The 26961-nt window shown below is 41.8% G+C and overlaps 1 long non-coding RNA gene across 5 annotated transcripts in view; it reads right to left on the bottom strand.

Moving 5' to 3' along the window:
- LOC105379364 (uncharacterized) overlaps positions 1-26961 on the bottom strand; it is a 535736-nt gene that overhangs the window by 461451 nt on the left and 47324 nt on the right. For all 5 annotated transcript variants that reach the window (NR_189605.1, NR_189606.1, NR_189607.1 and 2 more), the window contains one exon: positions 231-373. This is a non-coding gene — a long non-coding RNA (uncharacterized LOC105379364). The remainder of the gene's footprint in view (positions 1-230; positions 374-26961) is intronic.

Below are 26961 nucleotides of genomic sequence, written 5' to 3'. Positions count from 1 at the left end.
GTACATCAAGGTAAAGCCCAAGACTCCCAACCCCAGGTTGCTGCCACACCCCAATAGCACTTATAGACCAAGGAGCAGCTCTGGTTTTGAGAACAAGCTAAACACCTCTTGAGAGGAAGATGGATTGCTTTCCATCACAAGACTACAACAACATTGAGGACACTGCAAATTCATTTCCTAATTCATGCAACCTTCATTCATTCTTCTATTACTGCCATTCAGCCACTTACCACATATGTGCTGGAAGCCAGTGGAATGGGAAGGATACCATGACAGCAAAGCAAATAAAGAGCCTTCTTTCCTTGATAGGCCTCTTCCTTCTTTATAATCTTACCTTTTTATTACCTTATTAAGCATGGCATGCACAGAGGGCCTGCAAAAGGAAAGAAAGAAACAATTTGAGTGTCGGTTTGGCAGCAACTCTCCCTCCCAGGAGAATTAAGGTCATACTCCTACTTTATTACCTTCTCGTGCTCCTGAACACGGCTTAAAGCCATATAATATCTTTTGGTGGGTTAAATGAGAAGCAGCTCTCTCTAGTCTGTCAATCAAATCAATTTCCCCCTTGAATAAAGGAAGCTAGTATCTTACCCCCTCTGGCTGCCAAGGAAAGTAAGTTTCTTCTTGCTCTCTGCCAGGGATTCTATGGCAGGAGGAGAGAGGAGAGAATGTGTCCTGGTGGTCTAGGTGGCTGGCACCTGGCATGAGGGGGCCACTAGAATGAGGAAGGGTCTGTTTGCACTCCCACCGTGGCACTAGCACTCCCACTTGGCTGCTAGTAGAAAAATCACAGCAGCTCTAGCATTTTCTTCACAGCCATAGCTTGGCCAAAGCAAAAATAGGGACATTTCACTGGAGTGATCAAGACAGAATCCAGATCACAATGGATTGAAGAGTGAGAGGGTAGTGAAGGAGGGAGGAAAGAAAAGAGAGATATAGCAAGAATAAAAACATCTATCTCTTTTTCTTGGAAAAAGCCATTTGCCATATGCTGAAGAAATATGTGGTCATCTTCAATTTAATTCATATCAAGAAAGATTAATTAAGCCACTGCTATATATAAGGTATTTGACTGGATCCTGGGGAGAAGGGACACAGATAAACAGGAGTGCTTGCTATCTCTCTGTGGTGGTGCCTGGGTATTCCCTCTTTTAAGTCTTCACTTAGATTTCACTTTCCCCATGAGGTCCACTCTGACCACCTTCTCAGTACTGCAACTGACCCTCAGCACTCCTGTAACCCTTACCCCTACTATACCTTTTTTTAATTCCATAGCACATCTCCTTCCAATAAACTTTATATTTACTTGCTTTTTTATGTTTATGACTTACTGTCAATCTCCACACAGTATAAGAATCTTTGTGAGTTCTATTCCCTGATGTATTTCTTTTATCTTTTTTTTTTTTTTTTCTAAGACCGAGTCTCGCTTTGTTACCCAGGCTGGAGTGCAGTGGCACGATCTCAGCTCACTGCAGCCTCCGCCTCCAGGGTTCAAGCCATTCTTCTGCCTCAGCCTCCCAAGTAGGTGGGACTACAGGCGCCCACCACCACGCCCAGCTAATTTTTGTATTTTTAGTAGAGACGGGGTTTCACTATGTTGGCCAGGCTGGTCTCGAACTCCTGACCTCAGGTGATCCGCCCACCTCGGCCTCCCAAAGTGCTGGGATTACAGGTGTAAGCCACCGTGCCCAGCTTCCCTGATGCATTTCAAGTGCCTAGAACAGTGCATAGCCTATCATAAACAGTAAATAGTCAGTGAATCAATAAATTAATGTTTCTCCCAGAGTCTGAATACATTTTCTGCTATCTACTGAAGAATCTGCTGGAATTACTGAGAACCTTTAAGAAAAATAGGTATCTCTCTGATAAATAAGGAGTGAAGGCAGAAAACCACTTCAGGCCTTGAATAAGTGGATACATCCTTACATCTCAGTGATCTCGCAGTGCAGCTGAATTTCCACAAATCACTTTCCTGTTGTTTTTCTTCACAGATTATTCCTCAATCAGTGTGCAGCTGGGTCATCCATTACCTTGGCTCTGAAATTTCATTCTTGAACCTAATGCAATACCTTTTCTTATTTTGTGTAAGGACACTCACGACATGATGCAGAGAACTTATGCATTAAGGATATGTTATAGAAATTTCATCAATTCTGTTGCATGTCAACAAGCATGTATTTCTTTCTTTTTTTTTTTTTTTTTTTTTCTGAGTAGGGGTTTCACTCTGTCACCCAGGCTGGAGTGCAATGGTGCAATCTTGGCTCACTGCAAAGTCCGCCTCTTGGGTTCAAGTGATTCTCCCATCTCAGCCTCCCGAGTAGCTGGGAATACAGGCACCCGCCATCATGCCTGGCTAATTTTTGTATTTTTGTAGAGATGGGGTTTCACCATGTTGGCCAGGCTGGTCTTGAACTCCTGACCTCCAGTGATCCACTCTTCTCGGCCTCCCAAAGTGCTGGGATTACAGGCATGAGCCACCGCGCCTGGCCAACAAGCCTGTATTTCAAAGGTATGTTGCAGCTTTCAACATATTACACAGCTTAATCATCAACAGATTCCCACAGTCTGTCCCGTCATGATGCCATAAATACCTGCTTCTCTCCCAGGAACACAAACTGGGCTATGAACAAGAGATAGATCCCACTTTAGCCCAGGCACACTCCTTGACTAGCATCGATTCCAAATCACTTCTTTCCAACACCTCCCATGTGGAACTCTCTGAACTGGCACATTGCAGCCCAATGACAAGCTCTAGAACACCCAAGCAGAGATTCTGGCAGAGAGCCAGATAGTCACATTTTTTTTGATAAAAGTCTAAACTTTCTAGATAAGAAAAACCTCATTCCAGGTCACAAAGTCAATAAATGGCAGTGAGATGAGATTATGCTTCCTACATTGCTGGAGCGCCTTTCCCAAATAACCCCCACAACAGAATGCTGCACCAGCCTTTCATGTTCAATGACTCTTCTCCCCGGCTCCTCCTTTCCTTTGAGATGAAATTACTACCCCCCGTGTGATTTACTCCAGGGCAAATAGTGGCCAATAGCTGATGCCCCTTATTCTCTACTCTAATTTCTATTAAAAAAAAAAATAGGCCTCTATAATCTTTATTCCTAACTTACTAGAAAAAAACAGAATCATTCTCTTGCTGATAAGAACCACCATGGTTAGGTCCTGAAGCCATAAAGACATACCTGCTTCACAAACGTGACTTCCTATGTCCGAAAGAAAAAGGCTATGATGTGAATTAATACTAACTGTCATTCTCTGCATTGAAAAAGTCTCATTAAATCCAAGTACATCTGCTCCATGGCCCAGCAGTGATAACATTACCCCTTGGGCTTGACCTAGCTATTGGAACTATGAAATCTTATACCAATATCCACTAAAGCCAACTAAAATCCTTTTTCCTCACTCTTTAACTCCTGCCTTCTCCTTTTTCACATATACAGGTATATGAGTTAGCTTTTGCCATGAAAGAAACCACTCTAAACTTAGTGGCTTAAAACAACAGCCATTTAGGTCATGATTCTGCTTTGGGCAATTCTGGAATGGGCTCAACTGATCTCAGCTGGCCTCACATATGTGTCTGAAGATAGTGGCTCAGCTTCTGGGTATTAGTTCATTGCCAGCTGGGCCACTAGAGGAACTGAGCCACTTGCCTCTTATTATGCTATAGGCTTGCATGTCTTGGTCGCATGAGGACCTAGGATTTCACTGTGCATGCAAGCACTTTTCAAGTCTGTGAGTCTGTTAGTGTCCATTAGGCAAAACAAATCACAAGTCTAGCTCAAAAGTTGAGAAAGACTAATTTAAAAAAAAAAAAAAAAAAAAAAAAAAAGAAGAACTTGGCCAGATGCAGTGGCTCATGCTTGTAATCCCAGCATTTTGGGAGGCCAAGACAAGAGGATCCCTTGAGACTAGGAGTTTAAGACCAACCTAGGCAATATAGAAAGACCCCATCTCAACAACAGTTTAAAAATTAGTCAGGCGCAGTGGCACACACCTTTAGTCCCAGCTACTTGAAAGGCTGAGGTGGGAGGATCACTTGAGCCCAGGTGGTAAATGCTGCAGGGAGCTATGGCTGTGCCAATGCACTCCAGCCTGGGTGACAGAGCAAGACTCTGTCTTTATAAAGAAGAAGAAGGAGAAGGAAGAAGAAGCTACAATGTCTCATTGTAAAGGCATGAATATAAATACAGGGAGGGAAAGAAATTGCAGCCATTTATTTTTGCAAGTTTCCATCAGAAAGGGATTGTGAGATGTATAAGTGCTAATATAGGGAGAACAGTGGGGATGTTTAGCAATCGCTAAATCATCTAGTCACAACTAGTCTCCTCAAGATCATATTGGGTGGCCGGGCAAGGTGGCTCACGCCTGTAATCCCAGCACTTTGGGAGGCCGAGGCGGGCGGATCATGAGGTCAGGAGATCGAGACCATCCTGGCTAACACGGTGAAACCCCATCTCTACTAAAAATACAAAAAAAAAATTAGCTGGGCGTGGTGGCGGGCGCCTGTAGTCCCAGCTACTCGGGAGGCTGAGGCAAGAGAATGGCGTGAACCTGGGAGGTGGAGCTTGCAGTGAGCCAAGATTGTGCCACTGCATTCCAGCCTGGGTGACACAGTGAAACTCTGTCTCAAAAAAAAATAAAAAATAAAAAAATAAAAAAGAATATTTGGTTAGGGTACCTCGTGCATTCATTCATTTATTCAACACATATTATTGAGCACCTACTATGTCCCATGCACTATTCTAGATACTGGTGATATAAAAGCAACAGACAATCCCTGTTCTTGTTTTTTTCCCAGTTTTTTTTATTTTATTTTATTTCAATAGGTTTCTGGGAAACAGGTGCTGTTTGGTAACATGAATAAGTTCTTTAGTGGTGATTTCTGAGATTTTGGTACACCCATCACCCAAGCAGTGTACACTGTACCCTATGTATAGTCTTTTATCCCCCACTCCCCTCCCGCTCTTTCCCCCAAGTCTTCAAAGTCTATTGTATCATTCTTATGCCTTTGCATCCTCATAGTTTAGTTCCTACTTATGAGTGAGAACATACGATGTTTGGTTTTCCATTCCTGAGTTACTTCACTTAAAACAATGGTCTCCAATTCCACCCAGGTTGCTGTGAATGCCATTATTTTGTTCCTTTTTATGGCTGAGTAGTATTCCATGATGTGTGTGTGTGTATATATATGTATATATGTGTGTGCGCCGAGCCCTGTATATACATATACACACACACACACACACACACACATATATATATATCACAATTTTTTATCCACTCGTTAATTGATGGGCGTTTGGGCTGGGGCTGGTTCCATAGATTTGCTATTGTGAATTGTGCTGCAATAAACATGCATGTGCAAGTATCTTTTTTGTATAATGACTTCTTTTCCTCTGGGTACATATCCAGTAGTGAGATTGCTGGATCAAATGGTAGTTCTACTTTTAGTTCTATAAGGAATCTCCACACTGTTTTCCATAGTGGTTGTACTAGTTTACAATCCCACTAGCAGTGTAAAAGTGTTCTCTTTTCACCATATCCGTGCCACCATCTATTATTGATTATGGCCATTCTTGCAAGAGTAAGGTGGTATCACATTGTGGTTTTGATGTGCATTTCCCTGATCATTAGTGATCTTGAGCATTTTTTCATATGTTTGTTGGCCATTTGTATATCTTCATATGAGAATGGTCTATTCATGTCCTTACTCCACTTTTTGATGGGATTGTTTGTTTTTTTCTTGCTGATTTTGTTTGAGTTCCTTGTATATTCTAGATATGAGTCCTTTGTTGGATGTACAGATGATGAAGATCTTCTCCCACTCTGTGGGTTGTCTGTTCACTCTGCTGATTATTTGTTTTGCTGTGCAGAAGCTTTTTAGCTTAATTAAGTACCATCTATTTATCTTTGTTTTTTGGGGTTTTTTTTGCTTTTGGGTTCTTCATCATGAAGTCTTTGCCTAAGCCAATGTCCAGAAGAGGTTTTCTGATGTTATCTTCTAGAATTATTATGGTTTCAGGTCTTAGATTTAAGTCCTTGATCCATCTTGAGTTGATTTTTGTATAAGATGAGAGATAATGATCCAGTTTCATTCTTCTACATGTGGCTTGCCAATTACCCCAGCGCCGTTTGTTAAATAAAGTGTCCTTTCCCCACTTTATGTTTTTGTTTGCTGACAATCCCTGTTCTTATTATGCTTACAATCTAGTGAGGACACAGACAATAAAAAAGTAAATGTATAATAGTTCGGACTAGCCGGGCGTGGTGGCTCACGCCTGTAATCCCAGCACTTTGGGAGGCCGAGGCGGGTGGATTATGAGGTCAGGAGATCGAGACCATCCTGGCTAACACAGTGAAACCCCGTCTCTACTAAAAATACAACAAATTAGCCGGGAGCGGTGGCGGGCTCCTGTAGTCCCAGCTACTTGAGAGGCTGAGGCAGGAGAATGGCGTGAACCCAGGAGGCGGAGCTTGCAGTGAGCCGAGATCGCACCACTGCACTCCAGCCTGGGCGACAGAGCCAGACGCTGTCTCAAAAAAAAAAAAAAAAATAGTTCGGACTAGTAAGTGCTATGGAGGAGGAAGGAGCAGCAGATCCCTCTGGGAGTCTTGCTATTCAGCCACTTTAGAATCCGCCTTCCTCTCCTCCCTTCACCGAGTGGACCATGGAATGCATGGTGGCTGGTGAACTGGCACTGGTGAGAGGAAATATGTAGGATTGGAAAGCAGTCACCCACCAGGTGAATTGATGCCAAAGCTAGACAGATGGTTCAGCATGATGGACATTTATCACAGGGTAGAGCCAGATCCAACCTTTCAAGAAACAGGGACCTCCGATGAGTGAGACAACAGTGGGATGGAACCTCAGGAGGCATGAATCACTGCACTGGAGGGAAGGGTTTGTGTCTGCGGCCTGCTCTGTATTTGGGAGCTGGTTTTCACCAAAAGACATGTTTAAGCACCAATAAATGTCTATCTTTCCAAAGCTCAAATCTTACTCCCCCCAGCTTCCATCTTTCCCCACATTCCAGTGCTCCCTGAGCCCTTTTATCTAAGGGTTAAAGTGAAATACATTGGGAAATGGGAATTTCCATCCTCTTGTCAATTAGGTCCAGACAAATGTCTTTCTCTCGACCTTCCCAGATCCTCCACTACTCTACAAGGCCAGCTCTGTTTCTTTCTCTCCCTGACTGTCTCTACTTCTAACAAAAGGGCCCCTGAAACCAGCTGCAGTTTCTGAGTGGGTAAGAAATGTCACTAATAGGAGGAATAGCCATGAACCACAACACTAAAAGCCATCTTTTCTGTCTCCCACCCCATATGTGACATGCGTGTCCTTGGCCCTAGGGGTGGACAGTTCAGCTTTCAAAGGGCAGACTAAGTTTTTACAAGAGGCACTAGAATATAATGGTTGCGAATATGGGCCTGGAAAAAATTACTAATAGGTACTAGGCTTAATACTTGGGTGATGAAATAATCTGTACAACGAACTCCTATAACATATGTTTACCTATGTCACAAACCTGCACATGTACCCCTGAACTTAAAATTAAAGTTAAAAAAAAAAAAAAAGAATATGGGCCTGGAGGGGTCAAGGAGCCTTCTTAACTTAGGCTCTGCCTGCACTGCTTATTAGCAGTGCAACCTTGGACAAATGTTTTTTATCATCACTAAGCCTCAGTATTACATTCCTAAAATGGTAACAGCAATGCTTATAGAGTTTTCAATTGGATTAAATGGGAAATGACATATAAGGGCTTTGGGCATCATGTCTGACATAGTGTAAGAAATGGGAGATAATGTTACTAGCATTAACTTATTTTATTGAAGAGGGAGGCTGGAATCAGGCTGTTTCTGCAGAGAATGCCAAGAGACAAGAAGTTGCCCAGCCTGCAAATATTGACTGACAGGTGCAAGCAGTGTCAGAGTGGGTTTGCTGGCAGGTGGTTAGGGAGTGAGGTCTATCTTCTTGCTGTTAAGTTCATTTAAAAATAATATAAAAGCACATGTGGTGCCGTGATGACATACATGATCCTGAGAGCCAGAGCCTTCCTCTGGTTGCCCTGAAGACACCCCCGTACCCAGAACAGGAGACCAGCAGGTGGCAAAGGGAGAGGCTCCACAGTTCCCGCAGCAGGACAGCACAGTACCCAAGGTCTTCTCATCCTCTCTCCTTCCAGCCTTCTCTGATTCTCTCCAGGTGGGCAGAAATGCCACCACCCATTAAAGCAAATGTCTCAAGATCCTTTTAAAAATCAGCTCACAAAATGATCCTCCAGGATTTACCTCTGATGGTCAAATTAGATAGTTTGAAGCTTAAACAAAGATGCTAAAAGATCATGAGGGCAGAGAACTAGAGAAATAAAGAAGTCAAGGCTGGGAGCTGTGGCTCGCAGCTGTAATCCCAGCACTTTGAGAGGCCAAGGCAGGAGGACTGCTTAAGGCCAGGAGTTGGAGAACAGCCTGGGCAATATAGCAAGACCTCCATCTCTACAAAATAAAAATTTAAAAATTAGCCAGCGCACAGGTGGCACAGGCCTGTAGTCTTAGCTACTCAGGAGGCTGCAGTGGGAGGATTGCTTGAGCCCAGGAGTTCCAGGTTATAGCAGGCTATGATAGCACCACTGCGCTCCAACCTAGGCAACAGAACAAGACCCTGTTTCAAAAAAATAAATAAATAAATAAACAAGGAAGAAGAAGTCATGATGCATGATGCTGAGTTCAGGGACATTTGCTTTCCTGAGGCCTCCTTTACCCTAATTCATGCTGTTGGAGGGAGCTCTGTAAACACGTATCAGGCTAGCCAGCTTCCACTCCCACACTGCCACCAAGATGCTCAGTGGCAGTGGGCCTCATGCCCTCTCATCTTTAAAAGTGAAAACTTTTTCTTGGTCAACATTTATCAGACTGGACTTCTAACCACCTACTGCAGAATCACCTGGGGAAGTTGCTTTCAAACACAGAATGCTGGACTCACCTAGACCGCTGGCATCTAAGAGGATGGGTACGAGAGATCTGTGTTTGTAAGAGTCTCTTTACAGGCCAGTTTGAGAACCACTAGCCTAGGAGATTTCCGAGACACAAAACTACTAGATCTAACTAGCTATGCTACTCAGGGAAGACATTAGCAAGATGTGAGTCTCCTTTCGGGGCATATGCAATCTAAAAGAGACTCCTCCAAGTCAGCAACAGTGAGCATGATACTCTAGCTAACATTGGAGGCATCCTTAGAACTCATAGTTCTGTCTCCCTGCTGTTCTCTCCCAGCCAGGAACTCCCCTGGGTCACAGCTCTAACTCACAAAAGCTGGCAAGCCCTGGCTGTCATCTTCACTACATAACTCAAGTCCAGCTCTTAGTAAATGTTGACTGCATGTATGTGCACACACAAACACACACACACACACAAAGACACAAAGCTAAGGTGTATGGAGAGGTCATCTTGTGTCAGTCCCTTTCATGTATCACTTTACTAATCATCAAAACAATCCCAGAAGGTAGGTACTATTTTGTCCCCATTGTAACGATGACAGCACGTAAGGTTCAGTCATTTGTCCACAGTCATCCAGCTAACCAGTGGCAAAATCAGGATTTGATCCCAGGTAATAAGATGCCAGAGTGGGTGTTTTTATGTTCCCCTACATAACTTTGTCTCCAGTGGTGGAATTTTAGGCATCAGTTTTAAGGGAGAGTCATAAACCCCTGCATTTCATCTGTGATATAAGGAGAGTTGAATTCACAGGTCTCAACTACTCTTTCCATCCTTGAAAGTCAATTAAGCTTAACAAAATTGGGTGCACCCATTGCCTAAGGCAATGGATTTCTACGAGGTGAAAGCAATCTGGAAAAGTGCAGATACATTTTGGGTGGTCACGTTGCCTGGGGGACAAAGGTGTGTAGAACCCAAGGTGGCTAAAGGGTCTACAACTCCAAACAGGCCCACGCCCAGGAGAACTGTCCTCTGCAATGCAACAGGAGCCTCATGGAGAAACTCACATAGGCAATGGAAATACAGTGGTCAGTTAATGAGTTATAATAGTGCTATCCCAAGACGAGGAGGACCACTGGGCATTCAGAGCCTTGTCAGTCCCTCTCCAGCTCAATTTCAACAGTCTGAGCATTCCTGCTAAGTGATTTGGTTTATGAGAACTCCGGCAATTTCAGAAGAGGTCATCTCTAATAGGAAAAAAAAACAGACTGGCATTTGGGTGTCACCCCAACTTTACCTGAACTGTATCAAAGGTGTTATTATTCATTATATAGAGGATTCAGAGCAAAATAAAGTTTATCTGCAATTGTGTAAACCTGATCTATGTGGGTAACTGGAGCATGAACGATTGCAATAGCATAAACAAAGACAGGATAAAAATGTGCTGCTATATGAATCTGTCCCCAGTAATGGCTATATTAATCACCATTATCATTATAGTTACCCTCCTTGGCATCATCATAACCAGTTCAGCAACTGTTTCCCTTGGTGATGTCTCCTTATTACAACATGGTATTAATTGTATCCGAGCTGATTTTCTGCTCCTACTGCTTAACAGCTGTGTGGGAGTAAATATCCCTCAGTCAAACACCAGCTCAGACTGCCAGGACTCAGGAAATTGATCCAGATGTGAACAGCAGGATCAGAACACAGCTGCAGAAGAGAATACACCAGTGTCTGTGCTAAACTTAGTGATCAGCGTCCAGTTATAGAGATTATAAGACTTCCTTCCAAATACAATGAGCCATCAAAGAGTTAACAGCTTGAGTTTTGCTTTTGTTAGTTTCATCTAGGTCAGGAGCATTCATCTAAGGAACTTTTGTCTAGCTCTTTCAAAAAAAAAAAGGAAGAAAAAAACACAACCACCACCAAGAGAATAACCACATGGATTCCCTAAACATGTGATTAAAAACTATAACTATCCAAAATGTGTATTGTGTTTATTGGGGAACAAAGCTATCTCAGCACTTTCTTTTATTTTTAAGTACATTTCAAAGCACTTCAGTTTGTGACTTCCACAAATTAGAGCTCTCACACTTTTCTCCCTAAACAGACCAAGGCAATTGCATTCTACAGCAACAGCTATTTTTGTCCCTCCCTTTCGAGTCTCCAACTGGCTGGCAAAAGTGCCAGAAGACCTGTTGATTTGTATATCTTCGTTTTTTGATTTTGTGGGTTTTTTTTGAGACAGAGTTGCACTCTTGTTGCCCAGGCTGGAGTGCAGTGGCGCGACCTCGGCTCACTGCAATGTCTGCCTCCCAGGTTCAAGGGATTCTCATGCCTCAGCTTCCCGAGTAGCTGGGATTACAGGTGCCCACCACTACACCTGGCTAATTTTTTGTATTTTTAGTAGAGACGGGGTTTCACCATTTTGGTCAGGCTGGCCTCAGGTGGTCCACCCTGCTCAGCCTCCCAAAGTGCCGAGATTACAGACATGAGCCACTGTGCCTGGCCAATTTGTATATCTTTTGTTGCTTTTTATCAGTTTCACTGCCTCTTGGCATCAAAAACTGTGTTTATTTTGGGTGACTTTGTTTTAAAGATCTAGCACTGAGCTAAGATTCAGGACACTTAGCTACTCCTCTTTTAAGTTTTCTTTCCCTTTTAATTGACACGTAGTCATTGTTCTTATTCATGGCCTAGAATGTGATCCTATACATCTAGACATTGTATAATGATCAAATCAGGGTAATTACATCACCTCAAACCTTAATCAGTTCTTTGTGGTGAGAATATTTAAAGTTGTCCCTTCTGTTAACTATCCTTCTTAATGCCTTGTTTGTCCACGTGGGTCTGAAGAGGTCCCGTGAACCGCTGTTTCTTCATCTATTAAAAATGGGAATAACGGCTGATCTTTGCACTGCTCCCTGGAGGAGGAGTCTTGAGGTGCAGAGGAGAGATCATGGGGCTAAGAGCAGTGCAACAAGCCCTCTCATGTCCTCTAGCAAGATATGTAAGGCAAGAAAAGCTTCCTGCAAAGTCAGGTGCCGTGCATGCCAGGGGCCTCAGGAAGGTTTCCTTTGCCCTACTATACCCCTGCTAAGAAACTGCCCTTGGTAAGGTAGGAATAACGGGCTCACAGATTTTTACATATGAATGCAGTTTGCTTCAATATATGCAATAATGAAAAGTTGCAACCAGCCTAAATAGCAATGCCATTAAGTAAGTAAATTATAGTACATCCATTCAATGAAATATTATGCAGCCATGAAATTAAGGTTTTCAAAGATTTTTAAAGCCAACATAGAAATGTCAAGGTAAGTTTCTAAAAAGTTAAAAAGTATTCAATCCAAACGTCAAATTTTAGCACATCCATACATACAGGTCGTTATTGTGTGTATTTCTTTGTGTATGTAAAATGTATGTGTGTATAGAGGGAGAGAGAGATGAAGATTGAAGGTGAGATTGAAAGCAGAGAAAGAGAGGGAGAGAAATATACCAAAAATATTAGCAATTGTTTATCACTTGATGGGCTCTTATGTTCTGATGTTTGTTTACATCTTTCAAATTTTCTCATAAAAATATTTGCTACTTTTGTAATCAATAAAATGAATATTATTTTTAAAACGAATTTGTGTGTGAAACTATTACAATTAAATTTGAAAATCATTTTATGATATGGCAAATGCCTATCTTAAAAAATTAGGATAAATTCCTATGATTGCAACTCTGTCCAAAAGTTATGTCTGAGAAGAAGTAAATCCATTCAAATATTAATGATACAGAAGGGCATGATCCCTTTAAGTGATGCAGAAGGGGGAAAGGGGAGTGCTGGGAAGGAAAAGGCATAGTCCCTTTAATGATATGGAAGGGCTCCACCTCCGGGGCCTGTGCCCACAGACCTCAGTGAGGACAGGCATTTTTGTTTTTTCTGCCCAAATGTTGCATTTCCCAAGACCACCCTGGCCTGCCACACCCCCATCCTATGCCTATAAAAACCTGAGACCCTAGCAGGCAGACACCAAAGTGGCTGGACATCTAGAGGAGCACATCACCGGAGGAACACACGGGCTGAGCAGCCTGACTCCAAGGGAAAACCATCCCCCTTCTGGCTCCCCCATCTGCTGAGAGCTACTTCCACTCAATAAAATCTTGCACTCATTCTCCAAGCCCACGTGTGATCTGATTCTTCCAGTACACCAAGGCAAGAACCCCGGGATACAGAAAGTCCTCTGTCCTTGCGATAAGGCAGGGGTCTGATTGAGGTGACTAACAGAAGCTGCCTATGGATGACTAAACTAAAAGAGCACCCCATTAAACATGCCCACTGAGGCTTCAGCTATAGGCATTCACCCCTAGACACTGCCGTGGGGTCAGAGGCCCACAGCCTGCCTGTCTCTATGCTCCCCTAGAGGTTTGAGCAGCAGGGCACTGAAGAAACAAGCCACACTCCCATCACATGCCCTGCGAAGAGGACAAGGGAACTTTTCCCATTTCGTTAACATTGGTTATTTCTGAATGATAGAATTGGGGTGATCTTAACTTCTTTCCTTTTCTGAATTAGAACAAAACAACAAAAATAGTTTTTCTTTTTTTCTTTTCTTTTCTTTTTTTTTTTTTTTTTTTTTTGAGATGGAGTCTCACCCTGTCACCCAGGCTGGAACGCAGTGGCAGGATCTCGGCTCACTGCAACCTCCGCCTCCCAGTTCAAGCAATTCTCCTGCCTCAGCCTCCTGAGTAGCTGGGATTACAGGCATGCACCACCACGCCCAGTTAATTTTTGTATTTTTAGTAGAGACGGGGTTTCACCTTGTTGGTCAGGCTGGTCTGGAACTCCTGACCTAGTGACCTGCCCACCTCGACCTCCCAAAGTGCTGGGATTACAAGCATGAGCCACCGTGCCCTGCCAAAAATAGTTTTTCAAGAGCTAAAAAATAGGAATGTTGATATTGGCAAAAATTGGCATTTTTTAAAGTTAAAATATTTAAAAATGTAATATTTAAAAGATCTTAAAGATTAAAAAAAATTTTGTGTACCCAGTTATGTGAATTCCCTTCTCACAGATGAAATACATATATTCTAATACATAGAGTGGAAAGGGACTTTCCTTATTCTGCACATAGCACCATGTACCTAAGAAAATAACTCTATAGTCCCAGAGAATAACCAGGCCAACTATTACCCAAATGCATATCCCATCAGCCTGCACTTGGAGCCTCCATTCCCATGTATGTCAGGGAAGCTATAGACTAGTGCTGCTCTCTGCTTCAATGCTGGAAGAGATTTGTTGAGACTGAGGAATAAGAAGTGGATTATTAAAAAGCTCTTTTTTCAAGATCCAGCATCAACTATTCCAAAGCAAAGTTTATAATAGCCTCTTAACATTTCTTCTTGCCAATGGTGTAGAAAGTCAAGCTGTGAATAATTAAACATATAATTCCAAATGAGACAAACATCACTTATTGGCTTTGAGAAATGTTGCAGAATGGTACAGCCATTTTAAGAAATAAATTCTTAAAAAATAATTGAATCCTGAGGACATGTGAGTCATTTCTCTCACACTGTAAAATGTACTAGTTTTTCCAACCCATAATTCATGACATATATACATCTATTTGTACCAAAATGGCAAATCTTAGACTAATGAGCATAACATATTCATCTTTGTCAAATATATATTTTTGAAAGGAGGAGATTGCAATTATTAAAATTGAATTTTAACACTAATAAGCATCTTTAGCTTTTTTTTCTGTATAGAAATGTAGGGGATTTTTTTTAAAGTCTTTAGGTTTTCGCCCTTGTCTTGACTGTAACAAGGAATTTGGACTCACTCATTTCCTATTTTTTAACCCCACCTCAGCCCTTGCCTCCTTTGTGGTCTTGTCTCCCTCTCTTCCTGAGGACAAAAAAGACAGATCACTCCATATGTGACTGTAGAAGCTATCTATCAGAAGCATATGTGTTTAATCAATTTTAATACCCCTGCAGTCCAGAAGAAGTAAAATATTCAGAACTGGGAATAATTATAATTTCCATTACATTAGCAAGGTTTGCTGGCATGCCAGAGGGGCAGGGCCCTCACCATCGCTCTGCTGAGGCTGGCTGGCAGCTTAGGGGATAAGTAGGCAGTGGCTGAGATGCACACAACACCAAGCCTCTCTTGCTCTCAGTTGTGCCCTCTCTAACTTCCCCCGCAACCTTGCGGTAGCATCCACTGTGATTAACAAAGAAACTGACTGCTCTTTCTCATTTTCCTCTAAGTGTCCTTAATATTACTCTTCATTAAGAGGAGCAAATCAAAATCTGTTGATTTTACAAGCCAGAGAAAAATTAGTGGGCTCATGGGCATTCCAGATAAGGAAGTTCCCTAGAACATAAGCTGTGTTCCCATCAGAAAGGCCAGCAGCTACCTACTAAGCCAGGCTGAGATCCCCAGCTCCACATCGTCTCTCATAACAGGGACGCCCTGGCTCCCACACAGTTCTCTCTCCAAGGGAAATGTTCGAAGGAGAGCCCAAGAATGCTGGCAAAGACACAGAAGACCTGAGTTCTTATCTGGCCTCTCTTACTAACCACGCAAGCTCTGTTAGCTATTTGATTTCTCTGAGTTTTGATTTGCTCTTTTGTAAGGTGGGAAGAAAACTGTCTGACATTTCTACGCTTGGTACTGTTGTGTAGCTCAAAGACGATGATGTTTGTGAAGGCCTTTTGTCCACCATAAAGCACTAGGATAATAACTAAGAAGTGGTATAAAGGAGTTTTGGAGTTGCCAAAAACGAAACATATCCAATCTGGGCAGGGTGGGGGAAAATGCACCCTCTCTTACACTGCAGAAACAAAAATAAACAGGTGTAAATTTTGCAATTTCATCTGACAAAGGTCTGAAATCCAGAATCTATAAGAAACTTAAACAAATTAACAAACAAAAAACAAAAAATTCCATTAAAAACTAGGCAAAGGACATGAACAGACACTTTTCAAAAGAAAACATACATGCAGCTAGCAAGCATATGAAAAAATGCTCAATATCACTAATCATCAGAGAAATGCAAATCAAAAAACTGTAATAAGATACCATCTCACACCAGTCAGAATGGCTATTATTAAAAAGTTAAATAACAGGTGCTGCAAGGCTGCAGAGAAAAGGGAATGTTTATACACTGCTGGCAGGAATGTAAATTAGTTCCACCATTGTGGAAAGCAGTGTGGTGATTTCTCAAAGAACTTAAAACAGAATTACCATTTGACCCAGCAATCCCATTATTGAGTATATACCCAAAGGAATATAAAAAACACATGCACATGTATGTAAATAGCAGCACTATTCCAATAGCAAAGACATGGAATCAACCTAAATGCCCATCAATGGTAGACTGGATAAAGAAAATGTGGTACATACATACCATGGAATGCTATGCAGCCATAAAAAAAGAATGAGATCATGTCCTTTGCAGTAAAATGGATGGAGCTGGAAGCCATTTTCCTATGTAAACAAATGCAAGAACAGAAAACCAAATGCTGCATGTTCTCACTTACAGGTGGGAGCTAAACATTGAGAACCCATGGACACAAAGAAGGGAACAACAGACAACAGCATCTAATTGAGGGTGGAGGATGGGAGGAGAGAGAGGATGAAAAACTATGTATTGCATACTATGCTTATTACCTGGGTGATAAAATAATCTGTACACCAAACCCCTGTGACATGCAGTTTATCCACATAACAAACCTGCAAATGTACCCCTGAACCTAAAATAAAAGATTTTTTTTAAAAATGTAATTTAACAATATTTGTCAAAAGCCTTCCAAATGTGCATAACCTTTGACCCAAAAGATTTACTACATTGCCATTATTTAATTTTTAGTCACAGTGCATCAGATGTGAAGAAATTATTTTGGTTAAAGCCATTTTCAGTTCTTCAGACTTAGTGATATCACCCACATCCATTCTTGTTAGGTAATTTGAGCACTGAGAATGTTGTCAATGACACCTGTAATACAGTAACTTCACATAAAACTAAAATAAATTACATACTTTTTAAAAGTATTAATGCTTTTTCATTCACTTGTACATATATAATAATAAAATGATCACCTGTGAATTTATGTGCATATGTGCTCATGTGCGTATGAAAAGGTTAGAAAATAGAAGGGCAAGAGATCAGGGGTTAGATATGGGAGACAGAAAAAGTTTTTTCTTTTTAATTTGAAGAGCTGTAGTTCTGAATTTGTTTTACAATGAATACATTTGCTTTTGTATATTTTTAAAAGCTAGTTTTAATTTAGAATACAATACAAATCATTGTGTGATTAATAATCCATCCAATATTAATAATAACCACCACAGAGATGCAGAAAAGGTACTGAAAAGGGTGTGAGCTGGAAGAGTGGGTGTCATTTAGTAGTGACAGAGGGAGGGCATTCCAGTCCAAAGAAACAGTAGTAGTTAAGGTTTCAAATCAAGAAAGAAAATAACATGCACAAGGTAGGATCAAACAAAAACCTCTGATGGGGAAGTAGTTATGAATAATAACATCAGGTAGAGGGGATGGAGGCAGACAGAGAGGACCTTAAATGTTGTCCTGCCAGCAATGGAGGCCATTGGCAGTTGTGAAGCCTGAATGCTTAATTTTGAAATCTTTATATTTAGGATACAGGCAGATCTATTTGGATGTTAATGTATGATGCCAGGTATGTAGGAATTTATGAGTAATGAACAGAAAGGACTATGGGAGCTATTTGGGCTTCCCTTGGAAGGAGAAGAAAACAGCTCTGCTCCCCATTTCAATGATTTACTAGATAGATGATTATCAAACAGCTTAAAACAAGTTATTATTTCTCATTAATTTGAAATCTGGACTGGGCTTAGCTGGGCAGTTCTGGTTCATGTAGTATCTGCTGGGGCTGAAATGCCAAGATGGCTGCATCACTCATATATCTGCTGTCTCCCTTAGGCTAGTGTCAGCAGCTAGGAGCTGACCAGATGTCAAGAACTGTGAAGGATCTGAGACAATACCCTACTTACAAGTTAACAAATTAGTCTGTCACATTCATGGATGCAGGGAGAAGTCCTATGTGAGGGACAAAGAACTTTATTTTTTATTTATTATTTATTATTTTTATTATTCATGGCACAGGAGTCAGCATGAGTTGTATGTTTGCATGAGTTCTCCTTGCCCCTCGTCCCCACCTCCCACCCACTTATGTCTCATGAGAGCAACAAAGAGTGGCCCAAGCAGATGCTGCTCACACAGTGGGATTGTCCCACTGCTGAGAAGCTCTGAGCTTAGGATGCTCCCAATCCTGTAAGGGAGCTTCTAGCAAAGATGCCCAACCTTCCTCCCAGGAGAAGACTTTCTCTTTATTGCCCTGATCAGGAAACAAATCTGCCCTCTGCTCAGGAAGGAGACCCTATCTCTATCTTCCAAGGATGTTTGCTATACAAACATCCTTGAATAAAAATATCCTTAATAAGACAGTTCAAGACAAAATTTCCCCCTACCACTGGATGTCTCTCTTCCTCTATATGACCTCTCCATGTGGTGGCATTATGGTCACAGCCCGATGGTCTCAACACAGCTAGACATTGCATATAGTGGCTGGTTTCCAAGCAGATGGAGTTGGGAGGTGCCAGACCTGGCACCACATCACTCCACAGCATGCTATGGGTCAAAGCCCATTTCAAACCAGCCCAGGTTCAAGGAGAGGGGAAATACACTTCACCTCTGAATGTGAGAAGCAACATATGCTGCTGGGAGGGAAAAAGTTGATCACACCTATGTTTGGGGCATATTTACCATACTTCCTATCGAGTAGAAGCAGTGGTTTCTATACTAGGGGAAGTAAGCATTGCGTTTATTTAAAATGTTTTTTTTAATTTTAATTTTAAAGAAAAGTGGTCAATGAGAACAGGAAGGCTGGGTAAGAAATATGACAGTGCTCAAAGTATACCTGAAATGGAAAAAGTTTAAGAATTACTCCTGGCCAAGCACAGTGGCTCATTTATATAATCCCAGCACTTTGACAGGCCGAGGTAGGTGGATTGCTTGAGTCCAGGAGTTCAAGACCAGCCTGCGCGACATGGTGAAACCCTATCTCTACAAAAAATACAAATATGTTAGCTGGGATTGGTGGTGTGTGCCTGTAGTCCCAGCTACAAGGAAGGCTGAGGTGGGAAGACCGTTTGAGCACAGGAGGTCAAGGTTGCAGTGAGCTGAGATCGTGCCACTGCACACCAGCCTGGCTGACAGAGTGAGATCCTGTCTCAAACAAACAAACAAACAAAAAATTACTCCTTACAGAACCCCAGAAATACACAAGTACAGTGGTTACCAATCCTAACCTAAGTACAGATACTCAAGATCTGCCCAAGAAAATATGACTAAGATATCTTTGATGGGGCAAAAGAAGGTGCATGTTTAAATATACTGTGCCACAGGTTAATCTCTTGCATGTTAATGGCCAAGAATCCTCTGGCATTGGTGTCTTCCTTCATAGAGATTTTGCCCCATCTATAGAAACTATAGTTTTGCTTGTATTTCCATTTTAAATTTTTGCAGTTTCTATTGCTTCCATGCCAATATAGAGCACCCTTTATAGGGTCCCCTAGCTGGGGCTCAACACTCCCTAAAGGGGGTCTCCCTGGGAATTCTAAAAGAGTCTTGATAAAACTGTGAGCTAAGAAATGGTGTGGACTAGTGCTTCCCAAACCGAACCAAGCATCAGAAGCATCTGTGTGGCTTTTAAAATTGCATATTCCCAGCCAAGTGTGGTGGCTCAGCCCTGTAATCCCAGCACTTTGGATGGCCGAGGTAGACGGATTGCCTTGAGCTCAGGAGTTCAAGACCAGCCTGGCCAACATGGTGAAACCCCATCTTTACAAAAAATACAACAATTAGCCAGGCATGGTGGCCCATGCCTGTAGGTCTAGCTACCCAGGAGGCTGAAGTGGGAGGATGGCTTGAGCCCGGGAGGTGGAAGTTGCAGTAAGCCAAGATGGTGCCACCGCATTGCAGCCTGGGTAAAAGAGTAAAACCTTGTCTCAAAAAAATTATAATAATAAAAAATAAATAAAATTGTTAAAATGCATATTTCCCAATGGCTCACACCTATAATCCCAGCACTTTGGGAGGCCAAAGCAGGAGGATTACTTGAGCACCAGAGTTGGAGACCAGCCTGAGCAACATAAAGAGACCCCATCTCTACAAAATTAAAAAATTAGCATGTTGGCACATGCCTGTGGTCCCAGCTACTCAGAAGGCTGAGGCAGAAGGATGGCTTGAACCCAGGAGTTCCATGAATTCGAGGCTGCAGTGAGTTATGATCACACCACTGCATCGGCAACAGAGTGAATCCTTGTCAAAAAAAAAAAAAAAAAAAAAAAAAAAAAAAAGCGTAATCCCATATCCAACTCCAGATCCATTGAGATGAAGTCCAGAAATCAGCATGCTTCCAGTTCATTCTCATGAAACTAGTCTGGCTTATTCTAAGTGTCCCACCCTAGAAACTTCTAATTTAGCTGGTTTCTGTCCAAATACTTTGTCACTGTCACTGGAACCCTTCTCTCCTCCCCACTGTCACCAATTATAGCTATGGTTTCCTACCCTTCAGTTCTAAACTGTCTTAGAGAGGCAGCACCTTAGGAGAAAACTATTGCTTTGGATATCAGTGAAATGAGGAAACACACCCCTTTTCAATAAACAAAATAACTGCCATGATTGTTAGCTCTTTGTTGGATGGAGAAAAAAAAGCAATACAAGGTTCCAGGAGGCATTAAACAGCCACATATTTAAAATTTGAGAATGTATAGCCCATCCTAGAGGCACTCGAAAATCTCTATTCAGTCCCCCTCCAAAATTTCAGAGTTGCCCCTCAAGGCTGTTTTCAAATACAAAACCATCCAGGTAAAAAGGTAAAGTCTAACTACTTGTCCTAAACCAGTGGTCATTGCTGTCACCTTTTGAGCAAACATTTTTATTTATCAAATACATTTCTAAGTGAAACAAGAAAATCTTTTCAAAATATTTATAAATCACATCTATGTGTGCCGTGAAGAAATGACAGGCTAAGATAAAGATCATAAACTGATCTCCCGCAGGCTGGATGTAGTCCTTAGACATGTTTTGTTTGGTCGCCACAGGCTTTTTAAAAATTTTGCTAATATCTTAAAATTCCACATAAAAATTTGTATTTCTGGTATCTCCTTAAAAAGGCCTGGGGCCGGGCACAGTAGCTCACATCTATAATCCCAGCACTTTGGGAGGCCAAGGCAGGTGGATCACTTGAGGTCAGGAGTTCGAGACCAGCCTGGTCAACATGGTGAAACCTCATCTCTACTAAAAATACAAAAATTAGTCAGGCGTGGTGGTGGGCGGCTGTAGTCCCAGCTACTCGGGAGGCTGAGGGAGGAGAATCGCTTGAACCCAGGAAGCAGAGGTTGCAGTGAGGCAAGACTGTGCCACTGCACTCCAGCCTGGGTGACAGAGCAAGACTCTATCTCAAAAAAAAAGTCAGGAGGCCTGGGATCCCTGGACTCACTCCTGATGGCCACAGTGGTCTGAGCTGAACAGAATCTTTCTCTGTTAGATGTGGCATGTGCTCTCCAATTTGCTACATCTCCTACCCTCCATCTGGCCTTGTTTGAGGCTTATTAACTTCTTAGTCCCTGAGGTATTTCAGTTTTCCTTCTTTGCTAAGCAGTGGGGTCTCTGCAGAAATCGACACACAAAAAGACTGAGAACGTATTCAAAGAGAAGCAAACAACATGAAAAGTATCAAGATTAAGGGAAGGTTGAGGGCAAAGAAGAAACTAAAGCCAGCAGAAAGACATCAGCACTAAAAGTCACTAGACCAGTTGCTACAAGATTCAGGTTCTAATCCCAGCTCTGCTATTGAGCTAAGAGATAACTCCAGCCATGTCACAGAATGCCTCTGTGCTTCTGAGTCCTCCTCTGTGACCTGAAAAAGGAAGCAAACTGATGTCTTAGGATCTTGAAGGTGTAAGACAGGGGTCATCAAACTACAGCCCACAGGTCAAATCCAGCCAACTGCCAGTTTTTACACTGCCCACTTGCTAAAAATGGTGTTTGCATTTTTAAATGGTTAGAAAGAAAATCAAATGAAAAATATTTTGTGATACAGGAAAAGTATGTGGAATCCTAATTTTAGCAGCCATAAATAAAGTTTTGTTGGAACACAGCCACACTTATTCATTTACATACCATCTATAAGGGCTTCCATGATGCAATAGCAGATTTGAGTAGCAGCAATGGAGACTGTATGGCCCACAAAGCCAAAAATATGTATCTGACTCTTTTCAGGAAAAATGTGTTGACCCCTGGTCTAAGACATCATTCTAAGCTGTTCCATTAAAATATAAAACCCTGCCAGATAATTCCTCATTTGTATTTATATAAAACATTTTTTTTTTGAGATGGATTCTTTCTCTGTCTCCCAGGCTGGAGTGCAGTGGCACAATCTTGGCTCACTGAAACCTCCACCTCCTGAGTTCAAGCAATCCTCTCACCTCAGCCTCCCTGAGTAGCTGGAATTACAGGTGCCTGCCACAATGCCCAGCTAATTTTTGTATTTTTAGTAGAAACGGGGTTTCACCATGTTGGCCAGTCTGGTCTCAAACTCCTGACCTCAAGTGATCCACCCGTCTCAGCCTCCCAAAGTGCTGGGATTACAGGTGTAAGCCACCATGACTGGCTGTATTTATATAAAACATTCTTTCTAAAACAATTTGCAGGCTCAGGTGACTATTTCAGGGGCAAGGTATTTTAGTGTGATCAAAACATTTACATGGGCCTTTTTTCCATGAAACAGTAATAACAGTCACTATGATTTACTGAACACATACTGTGTTCCTGGCACTTCACGTGTATTCTCTCATTAGTATTCTCTGCAATCCATCGAGGTTTTATCATCTCCCTTTTTAGGTAAGTAGACCAAAGCTTAGGAAATTTAACTAATATTCCCAAAGTCAAACAGTTTATAAGTGGCCAAATGAAAATTCAAACCTAGGTCTGTCTGACTCCAAAATCCAGTTCATTATAAATGCCATCATTTATTAATCTAACACCTGTACCCAGGGAGGCTCAAGCTAAAGATAAATTGGGAATAACACCATACTCTGCTGTATCCAAAATTTTTTTTCTCTTTAACCCCATCTCATCCCTAATTCTAAAACTCTACATATAATAGATTCACCTGATTTCCTTTCCCCTTAAATCTCATCTTTCCCCATGAGAAACATCGCCGTGGAAGTTGAGGATTCCCAGTGATTCTCGATTTGATGTTGGGTTGTTTAGTCCTCACGAAAATAAAGCCCCACCAGCCACTGAGATGTGCTCAGCCAGTAGTGGGTTCATCTGTGCTACATTAATGTGGCCTTTGAACATTCTCTCTCTCATCACCAGGAAATGAAGGCAAAAGAAATTCTTTTAAAGAAAATTGTCTCTTCTACCATGAGTTTGACATTCTTCTTTAGTGGCTGTTAATTTTCACCTTTAATATTCTCACCTTTGTCTTGGCAGTATTGTTTAGTTAAATCCAATGTGTCTGGAATGGAAAGAAACTTATCGAGCAGTACATTTGTGCCTTTAAGCAATAGAAACCCCATAAATCAAAGAAAGTGGGAAGTAGAAAAAGAATTGAGCTAGAGCAATGGGTGAAGAGGAGGCCAATAGAAATAGAAAGATGGGCAACAGACATCCCATGGAATAAGGAGACAGATGAATTGAGGGAAGAAGAAAAGAAAAAGGGGACCGCCAAATTGAAGAGACAAAGAGAAAGAGAACAAAGAGAAAAGAAATAAAAGAGAGATAGTCATTGTTCCCAGAGGAGAAAGAACATATCCATCCCCCACATTTCCCTAATCCTTTTCCCATCTTAACCAATCTGCAACAGTTCCAATTTGAATCCAAATCAGGTCTGAGGTTTGGGATTCACTAGTAAACTAGCTCTGATTCCCTAATCCCAGCACCGGATGTTTTGGGGTGTTGGGATTTGGAGGTAATTAATTCAGCCACCTGTAACATTCATTCAGATGTTGCTACCTTTTCATCTCAGTACAAAGTTAACTGCAGATGCTGAGCAGTTGCTCTCCCCACCCATGACTGTGACAGCTCTGAACAACTATGTATCGTTCTTCCTAGAAATCTTGTTAGCCCTGTTGTCCTTTATTTCCAAGCGGCAGATATTTAACTTTTTGTAGAGATCCTAGAGAGAATTTATAGTTTTCTATACTCTTTAAACTTGTTTATTTGTGACCTCTTTATTGTGCTGGCTATGTGCTGATCTTGTTATAAAAAATACAGAAAGAAAAACCTGTATTTAGTAAAGAGAGTATGATTTCAGTTTCTCGAATATAAGCGCTCATTGCTTTGTGAACTAAAGCAGATTTAAAATAATTTCCTAAAGGGAATTGAGAGCCAGCCTGGTAGCACCCTCTCACCTTGCCTTCACACAGACGTAGACACCCGCTATTTGAGAAACTGACCTCTCTGGGGGCCTTCTCAGCTTTTTTCTGTCACATCCAAAGTGGGGTATTTATTGGTATTCACCCTGCAAAACTGTGATGATAATCATTAAGGAATTTAAAAATATCGAACTCTTTACCTCTCAATATTAATCAAAAGTTTTAACAGAATATAAAGAGAAGAGTATTTGAAAGGCATCAAATAAAATCATTCCTCATAATATTTGCTGAGCATATGATAGGACCTCCCCTGCCAGACTAACACAGAAAGACCTTTGTGGGCCAGGAAAGTGCTCCACTTTTTTTTTTTTTTTTTTTTTTGAGACAGAGTCTTGCTCTTGTTGCCCAGGCTGGAGTGCAGTGGCATGATCTGGGCTCACCGCAACCAACCTCCGCCTCCCGGGTTCAAACAATTCTCCTGCCTCAGCCTCCCAAGTAGCTGGGATTACAGATGCCCGCCACCATGCCCCACTAATTTTTTTGTATTTTAGTAGAGATGGGGTTTCACCATGTTGGCCAGTCTGGTCTGGAACTCCTGACCTCAGATGACCCACCCAGCTCATCCTCCCAAAGTGCTGGGATTACAGGCGTGAGCCACACACCATGCCCAGCCAGTGCTCTACCATTTTGATCACATTTGGTAGCCTTCTCCTCACCCCACCTGGCCCAACCTTTTATGGCATATGCCCTAGTTAAAAGAATTGATATCAAAGTTAAGCAAACTTGCAGAAGACCTAGAATGAAAACCCATGTCTCTGACTTGAAACCCATTTTTCTTCCCACTGTATCACATTGCCTCCCACCTTTAGAAATAAAATGATTTCCCCCAAAAACAGAGATGCCTTCTAGTTCATAAAGTAAGTGCCTGTCTGATCAACAGGTAATTTTAAGAATTCCAATATACCTCCTCCCATCTTTGAAAAACAAGGCCATAATGTAAACCATTTGATCAAACATAGAATTTGTAATATCCCTTTAGAAGCTGAAGGACATTAAAAATGGTGCCAGCTAATAAGCATGCTGAGATTGTTATCTGCATTTCAAAGGATCTCTTGGGAGAAGGAAAAAGGTTGGTCATGCACAATTATCTTGTAGAGCAGTTTTTAACCACTCCAATATGTTGGTGGTAAGATTTAATCTTAATGGAAGGATACCTTTATCAACCATTGGGATTCATCATGCACACAAAGCAATTTAGGCATGCATGGTTCCTGCCTTTCTAAGGATCTTTCTAAAATGGAATTCCTCTCCATGGATACTCATTTGTATTGGTGGAATTTCTTGCTAAGGAAACAAAGCATCTTTCAAAATCCCAGGTTGTTACCAACTTGTCATATCAGAAAGATAATACAATTTCAGTGGAATATTCCCTCTCCTGTCAAAAGTTAATGAGATAATGAGCTCAGTTTAATTTCCTGCTAAGGGCGCCATTTTCAAATCACAAAAGCCCCTGACGATTCTGGCATTGCTCACTGCCTTCATTCTTGGCACCTTCGTTTTTGGTGCCCTTCATTTTCAGAGAGAAAAGTAAAAGGTACAAATTCCAGTTTGAGCACAACCTTTTCCCAGTCTCAATTTCATCATTTTAGCCTTTCTTTTTTTTTTTTTTTTTTTTTTTTTTTTACATTTCTGGCCCAAGTGTCTACCCTCTTCATTAAAGAAAATGTGGGTAGATATAGATCCAGATGTAGATCTCTCCGTGTGTGTGTGTGTGTGTGTGTGTGTGTGTGTGTGTGTGTGTGTGTGTGTATGGAGAGACAGAGAAAGAAGAAACATGCAATGGCCTAGACATGAATACCTAGCTGAATAAGAGTCTGTCTCAGGACCGGGCTCGGTGGCTCACACCTGTAATCCAAGCACTTTGGGAGGCTGAGGTGGGTGGATCACCTGAGGTCGGGAGTTCGAGACGAGCCTGACCAACACGGAGAAACCCCATCTCTACTAAAAACACAAAATTAGCCGGGTATGGTGGTGCCTGCCTGTAATCCCAGCTACTCAGGAAGCTGAGGCAGGAGAATCGCTTGAACCCAGGAAGTGGAGGTTGCGGTGAGCCGAGATCGCACCATTGAACTCCAGCCTGGGCAACAAGAGCGAAACTCCATCTCAAAAAAAAAAAAGTCTGTCTCAAGGCATTCAGCCTAGAGTGGAAAACTGACTCAGCCCTCCCAAGCATTCAGTGCAGGAAAAGGAGTGTAGACTTGTCAGAACCCCCTGCAAGGAGCATTTAATCCTGCTTGGAGGAATTAGAAAGGCTTCTTAGAAGAGATATATTTGAGCTGAGCCTTCAAAGATTAATAAGAATACAGAGGGTAGAGGAAGTAAGCTACAGATACTCCCTAAACTCTTTAAATGTAGCAGGGACTTAGGATGTGTGGCAGGAAAGCAAGAGTGGACAAGTATATTGTGGCTTGATGAGAAACTTGAATCCTATGTGAAGACTTTGTACTTTATCCTGTGATTCAAAACAGTAACCACAGATTTTTCATCGGCAAGGGAGAAACAGCTTCAAGTTTGTATCTTAAGGAAAAAAAACTGGT

The sequence above is a fragment of the Homo sapiens genome, chromosome 8, assembly GCF_000001405.40.
Source record: "Homo sapiens chromosome 8, GRCh38.p14 Primary Assembly".
Classification (NCBI taxonomy): domain Eukaryota; kingdom Metazoa; phylum Chordata; class Mammalia; order Primates; family Hominidae; genus Homo; species Homo sapiens.
The sequence above is the reverse complement of the archived record's forward strand: the minus strand, read 5'-3'. Positions and strand labels throughout refer to the sequence as shown.